Source organism: Homo sapiens, chromosome X, assembly GCF_000001405.40.
Source record: "Homo sapiens chromosome X, GRCh38.p14 Primary Assembly".
Lineage (NCBI taxonomy): Eukaryota > Metazoa > Chordata > Mammalia > Primates > Hominidae > Homo > Homo sapiens.
Window position 1 is genome coordinate 81,249,194 of NC_000023.11, and position 23,442 is coordinate 81,272,635.

Sequence of the window (23,442 nt, forward strand, 5' to 3'; positions counted from 1 at the left end):
AAAAGTCTCAGCTCAATAAATAGTTGTTAAATGAGTGCTTGATTGAATAATTCTTAATTCTTAATCTTTCCCAACCAATGGACCAGTAAATCTCATTAGTTATTTTAATAATGTCTCTTAGAGAGTAAATTTCCTCTGCATTTTTACAACTTATAACTTCCACTTGACCCTTGTTCTTTCAGACCTAGATTAAACAATAATTTCTTAACTACAGTCTATTTTCAACCTATCTTGCATACTTCTATTATACTAATTTTCCTCACTGTTTTCCTTGTCCCATTTTATTGCTTATAACATACACATTTTACTAGGGGACTCATGAACCCTGTTAACCATCCCTTTTATAATGTGAACCTTGCAATTAAGCATTCCATTACAGAATATCTTTTATGTCTGCAAAGTTTTACATGCCTATGGTTTCCCTTTTTATGTAGTATTTTTGTCTTCTCTTGTAGTCCCCAGAACACTGCTGGGCCCAGAATGAGTACTTAATAAATACTTGCTGTCCTGACATACAGACGGTTATCCGTTTGTGTTTTTGTGAAAAAGCTAAACTCTTATTCAACAAAATGGTCGAAAGAAACCAGAAAGTAACTATGCAAGTAGTTAGGAAGAATATCGGTGAATGGAAATTTTAATCTTAAAAACTAGTGCTATAAAGGGGTAGTACAAAGGAATTTTGGGGGGAGTAATTAAACTGTTCTGTATGGTAGTTACATGATGCTATGCATTTGTTAAAATTCATAGAAATGCACAACAAAAAGGTGAATTTCACAGTGTATAATTTAAAATAAATTTAAAAAATATTTTTAATATAATGAAGGTTTTAACTTTTTTTTTTTTAATGCAGTATACTAAGCAGCATCTTGTCTCCATGTTCTGGAGTTATGGACTTGCTTTTTCTTTCTTAAAAATAGTTTCAACTGGCCAGGTTCAGTGGCTCACACCTGTAGCCCCAGCACTTTGGGAGGCCGAGGTGGGTGGATCACGAGGTCAGGAGATCAAGACCATCCTGGCTAACATGGTGAAACCCCGTTTCTACTAAAAATACAAAAAATTAGCCGGGCCTGGTGGCACATGCCTGTAGTCCCAGCTACTCGGGAGGCTGAGGCAGGAGAATCGCTTGAACCCGGGAGGCAGAGGTTGCAGTGAGCCAAGATCCGAGATCTCGCCACTGCATTCCAGCCTGGGCGACACAGCGAGACTCCGTCTCAAAAAAAAAAAAAAATAAAATAAAAATAGAAAGAAAAAAATAGTCTTAGCTATAATGATAGGTGATTATTTCCCTTCCTGGTCTCACGCATAATACTTTGGTATAACCCAAGTTTGGTGTTGTACTCCATCCTCTTCTTTTTCCTTCTCCACATTTAAAAGAAATTATTAAGTATAGTTGATGAAATTATGCCTTCATTGATATACAGTAGCCTGATTTATATAAAGTTTACCAACTTCAACTATTTTTTTTCTCCTCGGAACAAACTTTCAAGGCCAAATTCTTGTTCTTCATAAAGCACCCATAGGTGCAATAAAAATGCAGAATTTAGACCTTAGTTTAAGTTTTTCTTTTTCTCAGCAAATACTATTCACAGTCATGAGCCACGTTTTCCTTCAATTGTACTGGTAGATAATAGGCACTAGGCAGTCATTGAATGTATCCAAATATACCTGGTCCCCGTGTTGGATGGAAAAGCTAGAGAGCTTCATTTTGTGACCTGATATGAAATATATTCATAAATACACCATCAGGTAGAGAGTTAAAAAAATACTGCTTTAAGTTATACCATAGCTTCTAATCTTAAATTTGTGATATTTGTAAAAAATCCTGCTGATTTTTAATGAAGACTGCATAATTAAAGAAACCTCCTAAGACTTTTCACAAGTCAAAGGACACCCAGCTCTCTAATCATTATCATAAACTAAATTGGGCAATCTGAGACGTTTTATGAAAATTACTCGTATTTTAATGGATTTTATGCAATATCATTTAAAATATATTTTGGATTTCAGTTCTAGACTTGAATGCTGGAAAATGTATTAGACAAAAATATTTATTAGAATAACTGCTTAAAATATGTTTTTAACTGTTAAAGGAATTTTATATTTTAATACTATAGTTTTCTGTTTATTAGTTTAAAGCCACTCTTTTTTTTTCATTGGCTTGACTAGCTCGCTTCCGCTTTTCAATTTTTAGGATGAAAAATTTCCTAATTGTTTAACAAATTACTGTTTTTTTTTTATTTATGACTTAATTCTTTAATTTCCTCTTGTATAATATGGTGGTAAAGATCATGGGTTCTAAAATTGTGCTGTTTAGTTTGAATCTCTGTTCTACCATTTTCTAGCTGTGTTCTCTTGGGCAAGAAAGTTAAACTGCTCTGAGAACTGTTTTCTCATTAATTACAATGAGACACAGTGCTTAGTGTCATGTCTGGCATATGATATAAGTATTTAAAATGTATAATTCTCACATATATTTCACTGAAGTACAGCAAATTGAATTTTAATGTCCCACTAAACTTTAAACATTCTAAAACAGAAACAATATTTTCTACTTTTTTGCTCCCTGAAAACTGAGGCTGTGGAACCAGAACTAACCTACAGGATATTGGGGGTAGCTTCCACTGCTAGGATATTTCATAGAAACATGAACTGAAGAATATGGAAAAAGCATTAATCATTTTTAAAATTGCTACATAGCAGTAATCTTTTCAAATTATTTCTTAACACTTCCACTTGTTTTTATACCAAGAAAAATGGAATTATTTATATGGAATTCTACATGTTCTGGATGGCTGGGAATATTTAGTGCTTTTTTTCTGTTCCCCTAAAAAGATAGTTACTTAGGTGTTGGTCTGTTTCAAATCTATTGTGAAAAAGTTGCAGTATTCTATGATGAAGAATCATTAACAAGTATTTATCATGTAGATATTTTAAAATATCCATAAATGTTTACAGAAACTGCATCTATACCAATAAACAAAGAAACATTCCTGAGATATACCTGAAACATACCTGAGATGTACTGAAGCGCAGAGATGATTAGTAACCTCTTTAAATTTTAGAGAGTTTATAATGGGCAGAATCCAATACCCGTTTGCTGTCAGTTATACCTGTTTGCCAGTTAGTCAGATGCTCAGGTAAATTAGATATATTTCAATAAATTATCTATTGTTGGATCACTAAGTGATACTTTAGAATAAATCATCTAAGATACTTTAGAATAAATCATTCCAGTTGTGCATATGAATGCATCATTTTAATGGAGAAAATGTATCTTACTGTCTCACCATGGAAACTGGCTTATAACTGAACTTCGCTTTTTAGTAAAGGGGTATTCAGTCTTTTGGCGTCCCTGGGCCGCATTGGAAAAAAAGTTGTCTTGGGTCACACATAAAATACAGTAACCCTAATGATATCTGATGAGCTAAAAAAAAATTCCAAAAAAATCTCATAGTGTTTTTAAAAAGTTTATGAATTTGTGTTGGACCACATTCAAAGCCGTCCTGGGCCACATGTGGCCCTTGGGTCCCCGGTTGGACTAGCTTGTTTTAGTATATGGCTTCCCACTGGATCTTAAACAGGTTTTAGCCACATTTTTGGTAAGCAGTTCAGCATTTTTAAAAATCAGTGGGTAAAATGAGTATTTGAATTTCTACAATTTTATTTCCTGTAATTTATACTTACTACTAATATTGATAAAATTAAAACAAACAAGAGAAAAAAGCAGTTCTGCTTACACAACATTTGAGTAATAACACAAGACATTAGAGTTCTTTTTTCATACACTTTACTTTCAATAAGGATTCTATGTTATTTTCTTTTTTCAACTTGAATACTATTAGATTTATGTCAATAAGTGATTCTCTGAATCAGGATCAAAATGCTTATGGCAAAAACATGTTCATAGAGTGAATAAATGCTTTGCAGCTTGTCTATACTTTAAAATGAGGCCATGGTTTACTTTTCGTCTTTTGGTAAATATATGGAGATTTGCTTTTAGAGTGAAAATAGGTAAAGATGTAATGTGGATCACAATAATTGATTTCACACATAAATAACCCACTTAACAAGAGAGTGATGAAGGAATTGTATTATCATCCCTGGAGATGGAAGAGTTCAGTCTGGCTTGATGGATTATTTTTGTTTTTTTCTGTTTGTTTGTTTGTTTTTTTATTTTTCTGAGATAGTCTTGCTCTGTTACCTGGGTTGTTACCCAGTGGCATGGTCATGGATCACTGCAGCCTCAATTTCCTGGCCTCAAGCAAACCTCTCACCTTGGCCTCTCAAAGTGCTGGAATTACAAGCGTGAGCCACTTTGCCAGGCACTTGATGGATTCTTCAAGCATCCATGACTCCTATTTTTAATTGAATTGTTATACAACTTAACACCCACAATTTTCTGTTCAACCAGGTGGTGAAATTACAGGTTTTAATCACTCAACACAACATTTGATGTTCAGATGACCTTCCCTTTCAAAAATCTGTAAGACAAGAGCTGGACACTTTATAATAGTCAAAATAACTTGTAAATGGTAGATGTTGGCATACGATTTTTTATTGATTTCTTGCTTTTTTGCACATCTTGTGAGCAGTGGCACTGACTGCTTTTGTTCTGTATTATCTTTTCAAAGATGCAAATATCCTTGAAAGATATAGTGTCTCCCTTCAGAGCAAAGGGTAGATTTGCTTACTGTCCAGTATAAAGGATTCAGATTATGTATCCTTTCCCTCTGTATCATCATGTAGAAATTGAGGATCAGGAAGCAGGTAAAAGAAAATGCTGATACTCTGATTACTGCTGTATCTGTGGCCCAGGGGTCTCGTGTTATCTGCCAGCATCCTTAAAACTGTGTTAGGCTTACAAGTTAGTTTGCAAGTAGGGTAAAATCTCAGACTCCACCATTCTTGACAGTAGTTCTTATTTCTGGACATACTGTTGTTCTTGATAGTCATAGTTCAAATAACTATGCTAACAATTAATTGCACAGAAATTCAGTAATGAGCCCATAGAATTATATGACCCAAGCCCCTTTTATTTTAGCACCTTTTGTTTGCTAGTTGGTTAACTTCTTGGATCATTTGATTCTGGTCTTATTTAACCAATTAGGTAATATATGGCAGTTGTTCTCAGCTGGGCAGTTTGGACCATGTTTTTTTGGCTTGTGTCTGAGAGTACATTCTTAGTGCTTTCTGGTATGTTCATCTGGGGCACACCGCTGTGGCTTCAGACTAGTTCTTCTTCCTATGGCAAATAAATTTGTTTTGGTGGGTAAACAATTATCTAAGTTGCTAGGCTCCCTTGAAAGGAAAGTGTTTAATTTCTTTTGTAATGAAATCTTATCACTTTACCAACTATAGAGGAAAAAGCCCAGTGCTACAGCTAACATAGTCTGAAAAGGTAGTATTTGCTTTTGTTGTGTGTGTTTTCTTTAGTCATGGGGAGCCCTTCAGGTATGATGATTACCATGTGGACCCACCATCAGTGACAGATGTTTAACAGTTATTTTCCCAGACCAGCCTAGAGAGGGTGACCAGGGAAATGCAGTATTTTTGTGTGTGAAAGTAACTTGATCAAGACTTATTTACCAACTGAGTGTGCAGCCTTGAAGAGGCATTGATGTAAACAGATTTTAGATTGTTAAGCAACATTTATTAATATACATTGCTTTGTGGAGATTCTTACAACTTCTTTCTTAAGTTTTTTTTTTTTTTTTTTGATATGGAGTCTCGCTCTGTTGCCAGGCTGGAGTGCAGTGGCACGATCTCGGCTCACTGCAACCCTTGCCTCTGGGTTCAAGCGATTCTCCTGCCTCAGCCTCCCCAGTAGCTGGGACTACAGACGTGCGCCACCACACCTGGCTAATTTTTGTATTTTTAGTAAAGACGGGGTTTTATCATGTTGGCCAGGAGGTTCTCAATCTCCTGACCTCATGGTCCGCCCCCCTCAGCCTCCCAAAGTGCTGGGATTACAGGCGTGAGCCACCACACCCAGCCACAAATTCTTTTAAAAAGCAAAATTGCAATCATCCTATGTTTGTGGAAGGCCATTTACACTCTTTTACCCTGAATAGACTGTAACTGAAGGTTAGTTTTGAAATGGGTGGCTATGTTTAATTTTTCAGTGTGTGAAAAATAAAGGCATGCCTATTTGTCTCATTATATGAAGTTAATAAAGCATGCTATTTAGTTAGACAAGGGTTTCATTGTTTTGAAAGCTGATCCTGTGATCTAAAATTCTGAGAGAATTTTCTGTGGAAATTACCCAGTTATATAATGTGTACAAAGATTTGCTATCTTCTGCTGTTAAACATTTAATAGAATAATAATTATTAAGGATATATAAAATGAATTTATATAAGTTGAATTGGGGCATTGTGTGCCATTTCAGTGAATTTGAACAATCTGCCAAAGGATTATGATTCTTTCCTGCATTTGAGGGCTTGCTTCACAGTGAGTGTTAGATTGCGATTCTGTCAGAGTGATGCCATTAGCAATAGGTCAGACCCCTGAATAATTTTCTGTTTTGCTCCCCTTCTTTCACTTTATTTATAGTTCAGTTATTTATGGTTGCCACTGTAATAACACTTTTGAGTTTAAAAAAGCCATTGCCTTAAAATATTTTTGTTGTATTGAGAGAAAATTTGGTTCTAACAAAGAGACGTTTTACTGGGATGAAAATACAGAAAGGCCTATGGAGAAATAGCTTTTTTTCCCATTGGAAAAATAAAGGGAAGTGGAGAAGTACATTTATTTCAACCTAGAATCATTAGGAGTTGCATTTCTGAGAATTTTCATGTGTGTTTCTATGGGTATTATTAGTCTTCTTCATAGAATGATTTGGGGGACTTTCGGAGATTATGTCAATAACTTCCTTACTCCTCATTATTTCACAATGTTTTTGGTTTTCCCCCTTTTTCAGAAACAAATGTTGGTGGATTTTCACAGTGAACACTAGCTAAGTACATGAGTAGGTTTTGAGTATAGGGATTGAGGTTCAGATTTATTTAACTTCAGAACGTTTTCTACTGCTTCAGATTTATCTATTCATTGAGAGAGAGAATGCTTTTGCATTTGAAACAATTTAATAGGTGCCAATCTAAGAAAAAGAGCAATTTTACAATTTGGCAGGATGTTCTTTGATGGGAATTGACTTAGCGCTCCAGAAATATATTGCTCCACAGTATTTAACTGCCAGTCAACTTTCTTATTAGATTCTCTTACTTTAGAAGCTCCTTTTTATGGATCATTATCAAGATATAATTTCTTACTTTGGTCAGCCCTTTTTCTGAGCAGAACACTTTTGGAGTTTTGCTGTAATTCAATAAATTGTTATGTCTTCTTAAGTTTCTCAGGGAGAAATTTACAGTTTCCCAGTGATCCTTCAAACATTTACTGGGCATACAAAGTAGCCTATCTTGTTTCTCAGAGCCCCATGATGTGAGTGAGGAAAGTTATTAGGCTTCATTAATGCTTAGGCATCAGCCCAGCGTATTGTAAACTACTTGGCTGATCGTGCTACCTAGCAACTATATTGCTTTCTTTAAACACTTTATCATCCCTATTTGTTGTTTCTATTGATATTGACAGCAGCTTAAGAAACATTTTATTGAATTGTGCAGATACAGTTTTCTTATGTTTGATCCCAAAGTCCAGTTCTTCATTTACATACCTTCACTATTATACTGCCCTAGGAAGACTTTCCTATATTATGGTTGATGCATTATTCTGTCATTCATTAGTTTTAATAGCTTGAGGGGAGGGATTTTCTCTCAACTCTATATATCTCTAGTTTCTTATGTATATTTAAAATACTAGCTACCAATCCTTGAGTACTTATTATCATTTATTAATTTGTTTATTCTCTACATATTTATAGAATACCCGCTATGGGTCACAGATATGATAGCAGGCACTAGATAACATGATCAGCCATGAGAGAGCTTATAATTAACAATCTAGCTTATTTTTTGACAGGCAGTGCAATAGGCACATTGCATCTGTTATATATAATTTTCTGTGCAACGATTCTGAGAGGTAGGTATTATGACTCTCAACTAATAGATGAGGAATTTGAGACTCAGAGAAGTTAATCAAGTTGCTCAGTCACACAGATAAATGGAGGATTTGAGATTCAAATGCAAGTCAGTCAGGTTCTGTATTAGTTTTCTATGCTGTGTAACAAATACTAAGTATTTAGTGGCTTGAAACAACACACACTTATTACATCACAGTGCCTATGGGTCAGGAGTCCTGGCACAGCTTAGCTGAGTTCTCCTCTAAAAGACTACAATCAAGGTGTCAGCAAGGACTGACTTCTCAATCTGATGGCTCCACTATGGCAGAATCAATTTTCAAGCTCATATGAATGTTGGCAAAATTCATTTCTTTGAGGCTGTAGTGCTCATGGCATTTTGCTTCTTCATAGCCAGAAAAAGAAAGACCCTAGTGTGAGTCTTCTAGAAAAAGTATTTTATAACATAACATCATCATTAGAGTGACATCCTATCACCTTTGCCAAATTCTATTGGTTGGAAGCAAATAGCAGATCCTACCCACACTCAAGGGGAGGGAAGCATACAAGGGAGTGAACACCAGGAGGTGGGGAACATGGTGGGGCCACATTAGAGTGGGTCACAGGTTCCACAATCTGTAATTGTTCCACTGTACCATGCTGCATCTAGTAAGAGCTCAACATCTATGAATTGATTTTTTAAAATTCTGTAAAGCTATATAACACTATTAGAAAAGTTTAGGGGTAAAATCCCCATAATCTCATGATCCCAACACAGTTCAATGAGTCTCCTGAGCAAGGTGCTAGGTACTCATGCCTGCTGTCTCAAAGCCATCATAATGATGGTGTTTGACTTCCTGTTAGTCTTTAAAAAATATACACAGTTCTCCTTTTTACTGCTGAAATCAGAGCAAATATATTATTCTCCAGAATTCCTTTCTCAATTTTGATATCATTAACATTTTTTCCTGTTGCTGAAGAATTGTATAGCTGTCAGTTTCAGAGTGCTCACAACATTCTTTCAACTGTCCATGCCACCAAACATTTATTTTATCAGATCCAAATGATTGGATATGCAGGCAACTTTCAATCTTCCACTGCTGAAAACAAGTAAATGAACAACAACAACAGAACACAGTTACATAACTACTTCAGACTCAGAATTCTGCCGTCTTTTGGATTATTTACTTAAACTAGGAATCCAGAAGTGAAATTACTGGATCAAATAACATGAACATTTCCATGGCTCTGGGTGCATGCTATCAAAATATTTCTGATTTTATTTGACTGACTTAATTAACAGCCTTCAAAATTTCCAAGGCATATGATAGTGCTATTAGGAACTCTGTGATCACTGGAAAGACAATATCTTAACCTGTCCTAAATCAAGGTGTTTTGGTTGAGAGAAGTGGGGAGAATTATCTTCTCTTCATGGCCATGGGCCATTTCTAAGGGTCTTAGTCTACCCTGGAGTTCAAGTGGAAGACATGGATACCCTCAGGATACTGCCTTACCCTTCATATCAAATGATGTCATGTCTATGGATATTTTTCCTGGTCACAGTGTAGGACAGTGCCTTTCCTACAATAGATCAGAGGCTATTCTCACAGGACATTTGGGAAATCTGTATTTCCTTGTGTACAGGGACAGATTGGACTAATTTATCTATTTAGATGCAGTACTCTGCTATTGTATGTATCCACTTTAGCAGCACATTTTACAGTAGGGTTTTCTGCAATAGAAAAGTAAAAAGAAAAAAAGCTAATGTTATACACAGTAGACTGGCTCATAGTTTTCATCCAGTTAACACTAACAAGAACAGATTAATTGATTATTACTTTTCTTGTGATTCAAGAACTGATAGTTTGGAGTTTGTAGTTACAGTCTGTTTTTAAAAGTATCTGTTGTGAGCTGGAGAATTTAGCTACCAAATTTGGTTTGCATATGCCTGCCCTGTGACCTCACATCAGCCTGTTTGAAGGTTTGTGTATTTTTGCTTATCCTTATATGGGAAGGCTGCCTGGAGGATCTGTCTGACCAAAATTAGAAGCACTGTAGCATTTGTAGGAAGTGTGGTTTTAGGATGTGGATTGTCTTTGTTGCATAGAGAAGGTGGTGAGTTGGAGAACATCTTACAGACTATAAAATAATCATCATTTCATAGCTCTTAATGGTCCTTATAACTAGTCAGATTCCCTTGATTCTCTAGATTCTTGAACTTGTCCCTTGACAAAGTTCCCCTAGAGAGAATTGAAATCTATGCAGAAACTCACTGTACCGAATTGGTAATGGTAGTGATAAGGGCAGGGAAGTGGAAGCTGGAATGAACTGGTTTGTTTGCTTTCAAAATCTTAGTGTAACTCTAGTCAGAAATTTTTGAAATGGAAGGTCAACATATGCTAGGCTAGCACTTGTCACAAATTTAGTTTTGGTACTTGATTGTGACAGTGTGATTTGTTTCAAGGAAGGCTTTTGCTTTAAGGCACCTACTCCCAAAGCCCTCAGAACAACCTAAAATACTTGTTCCTCTATTTCCCTTTTATTACTCATTTTCTGTAGCCACCTATGGTCAGAAGCCACTGACACTGTTATGGAAGCACTGTTGTGGAATGTTCTTAACTTCACACTTTATTTGACTAAATACATGAAAACAGTTTCAAATGGAGATAGGACTTTATTTTGGTAAAGTCATTGTAATTCATATGAATCATTGCTTCTTCACAGAAACTTTTTCTTACGAAATCTTAAAGATCCAGGAGGCTTTTATTGCTGCTGGCATGTTTCTTTGTTTCATTATCACATAATCTCAGACTGGGAAAGGACAAAATGATTACCTAAAAAAACCTATGGTGTATAAAACCTTCAAAATACTCAAAATAACCAACAGGTATTCTTGTTTTTTCTTAGGCCAAACTTTAGAATTAAGCATAATGCAAAAGTATTATGAGTCATATCTGCACTCAAGGAGGCTTCATTAAGTTGGCAGACAGTGTAATTAGCATGAGACAACATACATTGTAGTGCGTGATTTTGTTATTCGTAGGCTTAGTGTTTAAATGGTGCTTTTTGGTCTGACAGAGCATGGGTAACTGTGTAACTTGGAGCATGTTCCTTAATCCATCTGAGCATTTGTCTCTTTATCTATGAATTTGGAATGAAAATAATAACAGCTGTCTCATAAGGTTATTGTTAGAATTAAATAAAATAAGCATGTAAAGAGCTTAGCACAGTGCCTGGCCCATAGGAAGCACTTAATACATAATAATTATTGTATTATACTTTACAATACAATTATATCTGCAATACAGAGAGAGACTTAATACATATAGAATTCCATAACCCATTGCTAGCACACTCTAAAGTGGGGTCTGTGTCTCACTGTTTCTTCTTATGAGCCCAGCCCTAATATACCCACTTACTTGTAGCAGAAAGAGGCCAAACTTTGATTAAGGGCTCGTTAGATTCCATCATTAAATTATCTACTAGTATGGAATTTGTGACCTTATAATTATAATTAAAGTTCCTTCAGACCATAACTACTATCTTTATTTTAGTTTTACTTACATCAGGGTAAGAACAGTGGCCATTAGGCTCAATGTGTACTCAGGGACTATCATCTTGATTGAACTATAGCTCCTAACATTATTAGGCAGGAGTCGAACACTGATCCTTCCCTAGAAGCAGAAGATCTTAGAGCTGAAATTGGGTATTATACTGATTTTGTTTATAATGATGTAGAAATTGATTAAATTGTGTACATACTCATTTGGATAAAAAAAGGAAGCAAAATCACAGACTGGTAAGTAGAAGTTAAATTTAAATTATTTAGCAAGAACACATCAAAAGTGATATTAGTTGTAAAAGATTGTCGACCTTCTATAAAAATCTCTTAAGAAAAAAGCCATATAAAATATCATGAGGCTAGACAGTGAAAAGTAGTGGAACAAACTTAAGATTTAGAGTTAGGGATATCTAAGTTTGAATTCCAGCCTTGACACCCAGTTGCTTTGTGACTGTGGATAAATTTACTTAACCTTTTTGAATCTCAGTATTCTAGTCTGTAAAATGGAGATAATAATATCTACCTTGCTGGGCTACTATAACTATTCAATGAAATAATATATGCAAAGTGCCTGCTATAGCTATTATCACTTAATTGACCTACAAATGGTAGCTCTTATTGATATGAATTATAAGAAGACAGTATCTGTCTTCCAGTATTTTCAGAACACAGCCTCAAATTGAAATCCTCCTGAATTTGGAAATAATTACAGAGCACCTTCTGATAGCCTAAAGTGTCTCTCTGTGATGGAGGAGCCCATAACATATGTGCGGTCAGAGCTCTAAATCTTGTAAAAATTTTGTGCTCCAATCTTTTTGTGTTTTGGTAAAGCAGATGCTATCTCTTTACCATAGGATATGCTAGAAGGATACTTTGTAGGGCCCTGGGCATTTTTGAGGACTCTTTCTTCTGATCAGCTTTCATCTAGGATTTGGAGAATAAGGAAGTACTTTGCTAGTTGGGAATGGATAAGAATCTGTGTGCAAACGGTAACTATGAACAATGCCTCCCTGTATTCAAATCCTAGGTAAAAAGAATGCATGTAGGCATATTGTACATTCCACAGGCGTTAGTACTTAAAGGGTGGGAGGAATATCTGGCATCAAAAAAGTGACTAAAAACATAAGTAAACACCACTAATAAATGGAGTTTTCTCCAATCAATTTTGGAGAACCCATCAATTTAATTTGGTACATGAGATGTTTAATCCAGGAGATTTATTTTGAATAAATATTTCCAAATAAGAGTCAAACCATGAAAAATCCTGCCCAGTCAGCCTCAAAGACTGATGTATATTACTTTTTAATAAACTATCATAGGTTGCTGATTACAGCCACCTTACTTTTCTCAAACTTCCCAGAAACTCTAGAAAGTATGGTCAGAGTCCCACTATGCAGTAGGAGCTTTTATAAAAGCACCTTGACTACTTGAGTGTGGGCTGGATTTATTGACTTTATTCTAAATATACAGTGATGAAAAGGGATAAAAGGTGCAGAACTCTGGCAGACACTACTATAACCAGTTATTCAAGGTTAATATCACCATCAATAAGTCCGTTGCTATAATATGCCCTATGACATGATGTGATGAGAAAGGCATTTCTTCTTTGTGGTATTTGTCCCAAATATCCATAACCCCAGTATAATTATCAGAAAAGCATAACACAAACTTGACCTGAGGGACATTCTACGAAATACTTAACCAGGGCCCCTGAAAACTGTCAGGGTCACAGGAAATAAGAAAAGTCTGAGAAACTCTTACAGCCCAGAGGAGACTAAGGAGACATGGCAAATAAGTGTACTGACACACCCTGGAAAGGAACAGAAAGAGAACATTATTAGAAAAGCTGATGAAATCCAAATAGGCTGGAGTTTAGTTAGTAGTATCATACCAATGTTGGCTTCTTAGTTGTGACAGATGTACCACTATGAGGTAAGATGTTAACAACAGCAGAAACTGGGTGAGTGATATATGGAGACTTTTTACTATATTCGCAAATTTTCTGTAAATGTAAATTGCATTCCAGAATTAAAGTTTATTATAATTAAAATCTAAAAACATTTTGGTGGTGCTGAGTTTAAAATAAAATTGTGAGATCAATCAGTTTTAGTATCTACTTTGTGTCCAGCCCTGTGGTGAGCACTATATGGGGAGACAAAAGCAAAAGGCATAGTCCCTACCTCCAGATAGCCTATCAACTAACTGAAGAGATGTGACTTTGACATGTGAAATGATTGGCAAACATTGGTACTCTTTGATTAAGCTCCAAACTGGGTGGTAAAAACTGCAGGAGGTCAGATGGAGTGGCCACAGAGAACTTCACAGAGTAGACCTGGAAGAATAGATTAGAATGGCATCAGTGGAGAGAGGGGAGACTTGCAGATGAAGGGAACAAAGAGAGAAAAAGCACTGGAGTGTTGGGCATGACATGTTCAGAGGAGAATAAAGGCAGCCTGATCTGATCTGGGAGAGAGGAGGCTGCATACTTTTACAGAGGCAGATGAAGCTGGGCCTCATTATGCAGGGCATTGAAAGTTAAACAGTCAGAGAGGGTAGGGGTTGGAACCGGCCACAGGGAACCTCAGTAGCAGTTGGGTAACTGTATGTGTTTCAATTCTTTGAATTTCAGCCTTTGGCCAAATTTATGTCTGTCATATATTAATCAGCTAACAACTGTCTTGGCATGTACGTTTGATAAGACAAGACTATGTGGGGACGATTTCACCTGAAGAGGTGAAAGTACAGCCATGCCCACTTTCTGGATTAAAAAGGCTCTTTCTTAACTAAATGAAATATCACTTCTGAATAATCTCATGTATCCAGACCTTTCTTGTCTGGAACTTTTCTCTGTCCATGCTGTTTTCCATAGTCAGAAGGAACTTTAGTCCCTTTATTGTTACTGACTCAAAGCTTGTTTCTGCTTTCAAAAGAAATACATTGTAATTAGATCGTTTTGCTCTTTAAAAAGTTCGTTGGGCATTTTTTTTTTAAAGTGATGGGTGCAGTGTGTAATAAGAAAAATAAAAAGAACAGAAAGGGTCTGATGCCTTTGCACTTTCTTGTCTGTTTTTTTTGTAAATTTGAAGTACAGAAATTATATCTTCCACACTAACTTTGCCCACTCAAAACTATTAGGTAACTGAACTCTTGACAAAGCGGAGGCATGTGCTGTATTGTTCTCGGTGTGGTCCAGAAACCAGAGGCCTCGTGGTGTTCTACTCAGTTCTCCTGTGTGCATACTGCCTGTGTTCATGCAAGCCCACATAATAGGGGGTTAGGACTTCGTTGAAGTCAGTTAAGGCTGGTCAAGAGAAAGGAGATTATAATAACTAGGAATTCATGTTCACTCATAAGGGATATTTAGGACAGAATATAAGATGTCTCAACCTTTGGTGTCTTACTTAGTTACATAGTTTAGAAGGAACTCGCTCATATGTCAGTCTCCAGCTGAATTTGGAGTATGTCTAGTATATCCCCCCCATGAAAGTAGTGTACTGTAAGTAATGAAAAACAAAACAAAACAAAAACAAGGCTTTGTAGTCAGCTAAATTTAGACATGTAATTTGATTTAAAGACCATTAATAGCTCTGTCTTACTGAGCAGGTTTCTTAACATCTCTGAGCCCCTGTTTCCTTTGCCGTGAAATGGATAGCCACCCCAAAAAGGGTTTGATATTCAGAAAACACTTAACAAGCACTCAACAAATGTTAGTCTTCTGTCCGTAAACGATTTTATCCTGTGCATATCTCGCTGCTAACATATAGTAAGGCTTGGAAATTTCCTTTTGGGGTTATCTTGGGAGGCTTTTCCTATTCCTTTATTATGTGACCCTCTGTTAGAATATATATAGGGGCAACTCTAGGCAAAATTCTGAGACAAAGAAACTTCACTGTCTTCATTACCTGATTCACTCTAGGTGGTCCCTCCCTCTACTTCAAATATGCTCACTGTCTGCCCTTTCTGTGAAGACTAAAGTAGGGAATCAGTAATGGTAGAGTTTCAGGCACCGAGAGTAGAATTGGCTTTAGGGTAGGATGTTACTCTCAGTGCTCCTTATTTCACAGCCTCATGAAGCCATCTCTGAAGAAATGGGAAAATGACTAAATAATGTTCTTTCTGACTCCAGAAAAAAGTATAGACAGATAGTAATTCCAGATAAAAAAGAAGTGGATAAAGTTATTCAGAACTGATTTCATAGTCAAGAAGAAAAACCCTTTTAACCCAGAAACTGGGAATGACTGTATTTTTTTTTTTTTTTTTTACTGTTAACACCTGAAGACATAGCAGTTTTTGAGAAACATCCTTTAAGGAGCTGCTTACTTTTCACACTAGACTCTATTTTTGAAATTATGTAAGCCTTAACGTGTTTTTAGAAAAGGTACTGCAGGCATGATTGTGGTAGAAGTGCAACTAAAAAAGAAAACAGAGTAGAGTTTTTTTTTTTTCTTTTTTTTAATGATACTTTAAGTTCTGGGTTACATGTGCAGAACGTGCAGTGTTGTTACAGTTAGGTATACACGTGCCATGGTGATTTGCTGCACCCATCAACCGGTCACCTACATTAGGTATTTCTCCCAATGTTATCCCTCCCCTAGTCCCACACCCGCCACAGGCCCCGGTGTGTGATGTTTCCCTCCCTGTGTCCAAGTGTTCTCATTGTTCAACTCCCGCTTATGAGTGAGAACATGCGGTGTTTGGTTTTCTGATCTTGTGATAGTTTGCTGAGAATGATGGATTCCAGCTTCATCCATGTCCCTGCAGAGGACATGAACTCATCCTTTTTTATGGCTGCACAGTATTCCATGGCATATATGTGCCACATTTTCTTAATCCAGTCTATCATTGATGGACATTTGGTTGGTTCCAAGTCTTTGCTAATGTGAATAGTGCTGCAATAAACATACATGTGCATGTGTCTTTATTGTAGAATGATTTATAATTCTTTGGGTATATGCCCAGTAATGGGATGGCTGGGTCAAATGGTATTTCTAGTTCTAGATCCTTAAGGAATCACCACACTGTTTTCCACAATGGTTGAACTAATTTACACTCCCACCAACAGAGTAAAAGCATTCCTATTTTTCCACAACCTCTCCAGCATCTGTCGTTTCCTGACTTTTTAATGATCGCCATTCTAACTGGCGATCTCGTGGTTTTGATTTGCATTTCTATAATGACCAGTGATGATGAACATTTTTTCATGTGTTTGTTGGCTGCATAAATGTCTTCTTTTGAGATGTGTCTGTTCATATCCTTTGCCCATTTTTTTGATGCAGTTGTTTGCTTTTTTCTTGTAAATTTGTTTAAGTTATTTGAAGATTCTGGGTATTAGTCCTTTATCAGATGGACAGATTGCAAAAATTTTCTCCCGTTCTGTAGGTTGCCTGTTCACTCTGATGATAGTTTCTTTTGCTGTGCAGAAGCTCTTCAGTTTAATTAGATCCCATTTATCAATTCTGGCTTTTGTTGCCATTGCTTTTGGTGTTTTAGACATGAAGTCTTTGCCCATGCCTATGTCCTGAATGGTATTGCCCAGGTTTTCTTCTAGGATTTTTATGGTCCTAGGTCTTACATTTAAGTCTTTGATCCATCTTGAGTTGATTTTTGTATACAGTGTAAGGAAGGGGTACAGTTTCAGATTTTTGCATATGGCTAGCAAAAATAGTGTTTTCCCAACACTATTTATTCAATAGGGAATCTTTTCCTCATTGCTTGCGTGTGTCAGATTTATCGAAGATCAGATGGTTGTAGATGTGTGGTGTTATTTCTGAGGACTCTGTTCTGTTCCATTGGTCTATATATTTGTCTTGGTACCAGTACCATTCTGTTTTGGTTACTGTAGCCTTGTAGTAAAGTTTGAAGTCAGATAGTGTGATGCCTTCAGATTTGTTCTTCTTGCCCAGGACTGTCTTGGCTATGCGGGCTGTTTTTTGGTTTCATATGAAGTTTAAAGTAGTTTTTCCCAATTCTTTGAAGAAAGTCAGTGGTAGCTTGATGGGGATAGCATTGAATCTATAAATTGCTTTTGGCAGTGAGGCCATTTTAACGATATTGATTCTTCCTATCCATGAGCATGGAATGTTTTTCGATTTGTTTGTGTCCTCTCTTATTTCCTTGAGCAGTGGTTTGTATATTTACTTGAAGAGGTCCTTCACATCCCTTGTAAGTTGGATTCCTAGGTATTTTATTCTATTAGTAGCAATTGTGAATGGGAGTTCACTCATGGTTTGGCTCTCTGTTTGTCTGTTATTGGTGTATAGGAATGCTTGTGATTTTTGCACATTGACTTTGCATCCTGAGATTTTGCTGAAGTTGCTTATCAGCTTAAGGAGATTTTGGGCTGAGACGATGGGGTTTTCTAAATATACAATCATGTCATCTGCAAACAGAGACAATTTGACTTCCTCTTTTCCTAATTGAATACCCTTTATTTCTTTCTCTTGCCTGATTGCCCTGGCCAGAACTTCCAATACTATGTTGAATAGGAGTGGTGAGAAAAGGCATCCCTGTCTTGTGCCAGTTTTCAAAGGGAATGCTTCCAGTTATTGCCCATTCAGTATGACATCGGCTGTGGGTTTGTCCTAAATAGCTCCTATTATGTTGAGATACGTTTCACTGATACCTAGTTTATTGAGAGTTTTTAGCATGAAAGGCTGTTGAATCTTGTCAAAGGCCTTTTCTGCATCTATTGAGATAATCATGTGCTTCTTGTCGTTGGTTCTGTTTATGTGATGGATTACGTTTATTGATTTCTGTGTGTTGAACCAGCCTTGCCTCCCAGGGATGAAGCTGACTTGATTGTGGTGGATAAGCTTTTTGATGTGCTGCTGGATTCGGTTTGCCAGTATTTTATTGAGGATTTTCACGTCGATATTCATCAGGGATATTGGCCTAAAATTCTCTTTTTTGTGTGTGTCTCTGCCCTGCTTTGGTGTCAGGATGATGCTCGCCTCATAAAATGAGTCAGGTAGGATTTCCTCTTTTTCTGTTGATTGGAATAGTTTCAGAAGGAACTACGCATGCAATAAAGCTCCTCTTTGTACCTCGAGTAGAATTTGTCTGTGAATCCGTCTGGTCCTGGACTTTTTTTGGGTGCTAGGCTATTAATTATTGCCTCAATTTCAGATCCTGTTACTGGTCTATTCAGAGATTCAACTTCTTTCTGGTTTAGCCTTGGGAGGGTGTATGGGTCCAAGAATTTGTCCATTTCTTTTAGATTTTCTAGTTTATTTTCGTAGAGGTGTTTATAGTATTCTCTGATGGTAGTTTGTATTTCTGTGGGATTGGTGGTAAATCCTCATCATCCTTTTTTATTGCATCTATTTGATTCTTCTCTCTTTTCTTCTTTATTAGTCTTGCTAGGGGTCTATCTATTTTGTTGATTGTTTCAAAAAACCAGCTCCTGGATCCACTAATTTTTTTTTGAAGGGTTTTTTTTGTGTCTCTATCTCCTTCAGTTCTGCTCTGATCTTAGTTATTTCTTGTCTTCTGCTAGCTTTTGAATTTGTTTGCTCTTTCTTCTCTAGTTCTTTTAATTGTGATTTTACGGTTTCGATTTTAGACCTTTCCTGTTTTTTCTTGTGGGCATTTAATGCTATAAATTTCCCTCTACACACTGCTTTAAATGTGTCCCAGAGATTCCGGTACATTGTATCTTTGTTCTCCTTGGTTTCAAAGAACATCTTTATTTCTGCCTTCATTCATTATTTACCCATTAGTCATTCAGGAGTAGGTTGTTCAGTTTCCATGTAGTTGTGCTGTTTAGTGAGATTCTTACTCCTGAGTTCTAATTTGACTGCACTGTGGTCTGAGAGGCAGTTTGTTGTGATTTTTGTTCTTACACATTTGCTGAGGAGTGTTTTACTTCTAATTATGTGGTCAATTTTAGAATAAGTGCGATGTGGTGCTGAGAAGAATGTATATTCTATTGATTTGGGGTAGAGAGGTCTGTAGATGTCTATTAGGTCTGCTTGGTCCAGAGCTGAGTTCAAGTCCTGGATATCCTTGTTAATTTTATGTCTCATTGATCTGTCTAATATTGACAGTGGGGTGTTAAAGTCTTCCATTATTATTGTGTGGGAGTCTAAGTCTCTTTGTAGGTCTGTAAGAACTTGCTTTATGAATCTGGCTGCTCCTGTACTGAGTGAATGTATGTTTAGGATAGTTAGCTCTTCTTGTTGAATTGAGCCCTTTGCCATTATGTAATGGCCTTCTTTGTCTCTTTTGATCTTTGTTGGCTTAAAGTTTGTTTTATCAGAGACCAGGATTGCAACTCCTGCTTTTTTTGCCTTCCATTTGCTTGATAGATCTTCCTCTATCCCTTTATTTTGGGCCTATGTTTGTCTCTGCATGTGAGATGGGTCTCCTGAATACAGCACACCGATGGGTCTTGATTCTTTATCCAATTTGCCAGTCTGTGTCTTTTAATTGGGGCATTTAGCCCATTTACATTTAAGGTTAATATTGTTATGTGTGAATTTGATCCTGTCATTATGATGTTAGCTGGTTATTTCGCCTGTTAATTGATGCAGTTTCTTCATAGCATTGATGGTCTTTATAATTTGGCACGTTTTTGCAGTGGTTGGTACCAGTTGCTCCTTTCCAAGTTTAGTAATTCCTTCAGGAGCTCTTTTAGGGCAGGCCTGGTGGTGACAAAATCTCTCAGCATTTGCTTGTCTGTAAACTATTTTATTTCTCCTTCACTTATGAAGCTTAGTTTCGCTGGATATGAAATTCTGGATTGAAAATTCTTTTCTTTAAGAATGTTGAATATTGGCCCCCACTCTCTTCTGGCTTGTAGGGTTTCTGCTGAGAGATCCACTGTTAGTCTGATGGGCTTCCCTTTGTGGGTAACCCGACCTTTCTCCCTGGCTGCCCTTAACATTTTTTCCTTCATTTCAACCTTGGTGAATCTGATGATTATGTGTCTTGGAGTTGCTCTTCTTGAGGGGTATCTTTGTGGTGTTCTCTGTATTTCCCGAATTTGAATGTTGGCCTGTCTTGCTAGATTGGGGAAGTTCTCCTGGATAATATCCTGCAGAGTGTTTTCCAACTTGTTTCCACTCTCCCCATCACTTTCAGGTACACCAATCAGACGTAGATTTGGTCTTTTCACATAGTCCTATATTTCTTGGAGGCTTCGTTCATTTCTTTTTACTCTTTTTTCTCTAATCTTGTCTTCTTACTTTATTTCATTAATTTGATCTTCAGTCAGTGATATCCTTTCCTTCTGCTTGATTGAATGAGCCATTGAAGCTTGTGTATGCTTCACGAAGTTCTTGTTCTGTGGTTTTCAGCTCCATCTGGTCATTTAAGCTCTTCTCTACACTTGTTATTCTACTTAGCCATTCATCTAACCTTTTGTCAAGGTTTTTATCCTCCTTGTGATGGGCTAAAACATGCTCCTTTAGCTCGGGGAAGTTTGTTATTACAGACCTTCTGAATCCTGTTTCTGTCTCCTCGTCAAACTCATTTTCCATCCAGTTTTGTTCCCTTGCTGGTGTGGAGTTGTGTTCCTTTGTAGAAGAGGCGTTCTGGTTTTTGCAATTTTCCACCTTTCTGCTCTGGTTTCTCACCATCTTTGTGGATTTATCTACCTTTGGTCTTTGATGTTGCTGATCTATGGATGTGGTTTTGGTGTGGATGTCCTTTTTGTTGATGTTGATGTTGATGCTATTCCTTTCTGTTTGTTAGGTTTACTTCTACAGACAGGCCCCTCAGCTGCAGGTCTGTTGGCGTTTGCCGGAGGTCCACTCTAGACCCTGTTTGCCTGCATATCACCAGTGGAGGCTGCAGAACAGCACATATTGCTGCCAGATCCTTACTCTGGAAGCTTCGTCCCACAGGGGCACCCACCTGTATGAGGTGTCTGTTGGCCCCTACTGGGAGGTGTCTCCCAGTCAGGCTACACGGGGGTCAGGGACCCACTTGAGGAGGCAGTCTGTCTGTTATTGGAGCTCGAACACCATGTCGGGAGAACTACTGCTCTCTTCAGAGCTGCCAGGCAGTGAACTTTAAGTCTGGAGAAGCTGTCAGCCGCCTTTTGTTCAGATATACCCTGCCCCCACAGGTGGAGTCTAGAGAGGCAGTAGGCCTTGCTAAGCTGGGGTGGACTCCACCCAGTTCAAGCTGCCCTGCCACTTTGTTTACATTGTGAGCATGGAACTGCCTACTCAATCCTCAGCAAAGGTGGACGTCCCCCCCCAACCAAGCTCCCGTGTCCCAGGTCAATCTCAGACTGCTGCACTAGCAGTGAGCAAGGCTCCGTGGGCATGGGATCTACCAAGCCAGGCATGGGAGGGGATCTCCTGGTCGGCTGGTTGCGAAGACTTTAGGAAAAGTGCAGTATTTGGGCAGGAGTGTACTTCTCCTCCAGGTACAGTAACTCACAGCTTTCCTTGGCCAGGAAAGGGAAATCCTATGACCCCTTGCACTTCCCCAGTGAGGCAACACCCCACTCTGCTTTGGCTTGCCCTCTGTGGGCTGCACCCACTGTCCATCCAGTCCCTGTGAGATGAACCAGGCACCTCTGTTGGAAATGCAGAAATCACTTGTCTTCTGTGTCAATCTCACTGCGAGTTGTAGACCAGAGCTGTTCCTGTTTGGCCATCTTGGAAGTGATCTTCTTTTTCTTTTAGCAGGAATAAAATAGGAAATCTTAGATTACACTTTAATGCTGCCACATCTTGGAACATCTGTCACGAGAACTCTAGGGAGCCAGGGGTGCAGGTGAGGAATGATAAGAAAATTCTTATTAGACATTTTAACCAAGACTTGTTTCTTGTTGGTAAAGAGAAATGAACAAAGCCTCCAAGAAATATAGGACTATGTGAAAAGACCAAATCTACGTCTGATTGGTGTACCTGAAAGTGATGGGGAGAATGGAAACAAGTTGGAAAACACTCTGCAGGATATTATCCAGGAGAACTTCCCCAATCTAGCAAGACAGGCCAACATTCAAATTCGGGAAATACAGAGAACACCACAAAGATACTCCTCAAGAAGAGCAACCCCAAGACACATAATCATCAGATTACGTTGCATTGTGATCAAACCACTTTTGGAAATATTGCAAACAGACAAGCTGAAAAAAAAGGTGTATCTTGCTGTGGTTAACCCTGAAATTGAGCAAGAAGAAGCCAATGGTGGCTGGGCATGGTGGCTCATGCCTGTAATCCCAGCACTTTGGGAGGCTGAAGTGGGCGGATCATGAGGTCAGGAGATTGAGACCATCCTGGCTAACATGGTGAAACCCTGTCTCTACTAAAAATACAAAAAAAAATTAGCCAGGCATGGTGGCGGATGCCTGTAGTCCCAGCTACTCAGGAGGCTGAGGTGGGAGAATGGCATGAACCCGGGAGGCAGAGCTTGCAGTGAGCTGAGATCGTGCCACTGCACTCCAGCCTGGGTGACAGAGTGAGACTGCGTCCAAAAAAAAAAAAAAAAAGGAAGACAATAGTTTAGTAGGTCGTGGCAGTATTCATTTAAGAATAGACACAGATCTGTTTGGTTATTGAAAGACTACACAGTGGCAATACTGCACTCGCTTATTGCCAAACTGACTAACTGGGGTTTCAGATTTGATGTTCCTTTTAGATGTATTTTGTAAGTAACTTAGTAAAAGACTGAATTGGCAGCTTTAAATGCTGTTTGTTCACTCCTCATCCACTCCACTGTTAAATCATTTGACACAGAGTAGGCAAAGACAGGGTCATTACTTTTCTTTTTTTTCTTTTCTTTTTTTTTTTTTTTTGAGACAGAGTCTCGTTCTGCCGCCCAGGCTGGAGTGCAGTGGCGAGATCTGGGCTCACTGCAAGCTCCACCTCCTGGGTTCAGGCCATTCTCCTGCATCAGCCTCCTGGTAGCTGGG

At 37.8% G+C, this 23,442-nt stretch overlaps 1 protein-coding gene across 4 annotated transcripts in view, besides 1 other annotated feature; it reads left to right on the top strand.

Moving 5' to 3' along the window:
- SH3BGRL (SH3 domain binding glutamate rich protein like) overlaps positions 1 to 23,442 on the top strand; it is a 96,446-nt gene that overhangs the window by 47,092 nt on the left and 25,912 nt on the right. The window lies entirely within an intron of this gene.
- Positions 8,443 to 8,708: a silencer, noted in NCBI's record as "fragment chrX:80513135-80513400 (GRCh37/hg19 assembly coordinates)". NCBI's record gives its function as "represses an EF-1alpha promoter that drives an FKBP-Casp9 reporter gene in an ReSE screen in HepG2 liver carcinoma cells {active_cell/tissue: HepG2}" and the evidence as "EXISTENCE:reporter gene assay evidence [ECO:0000049][PMID:32094911]".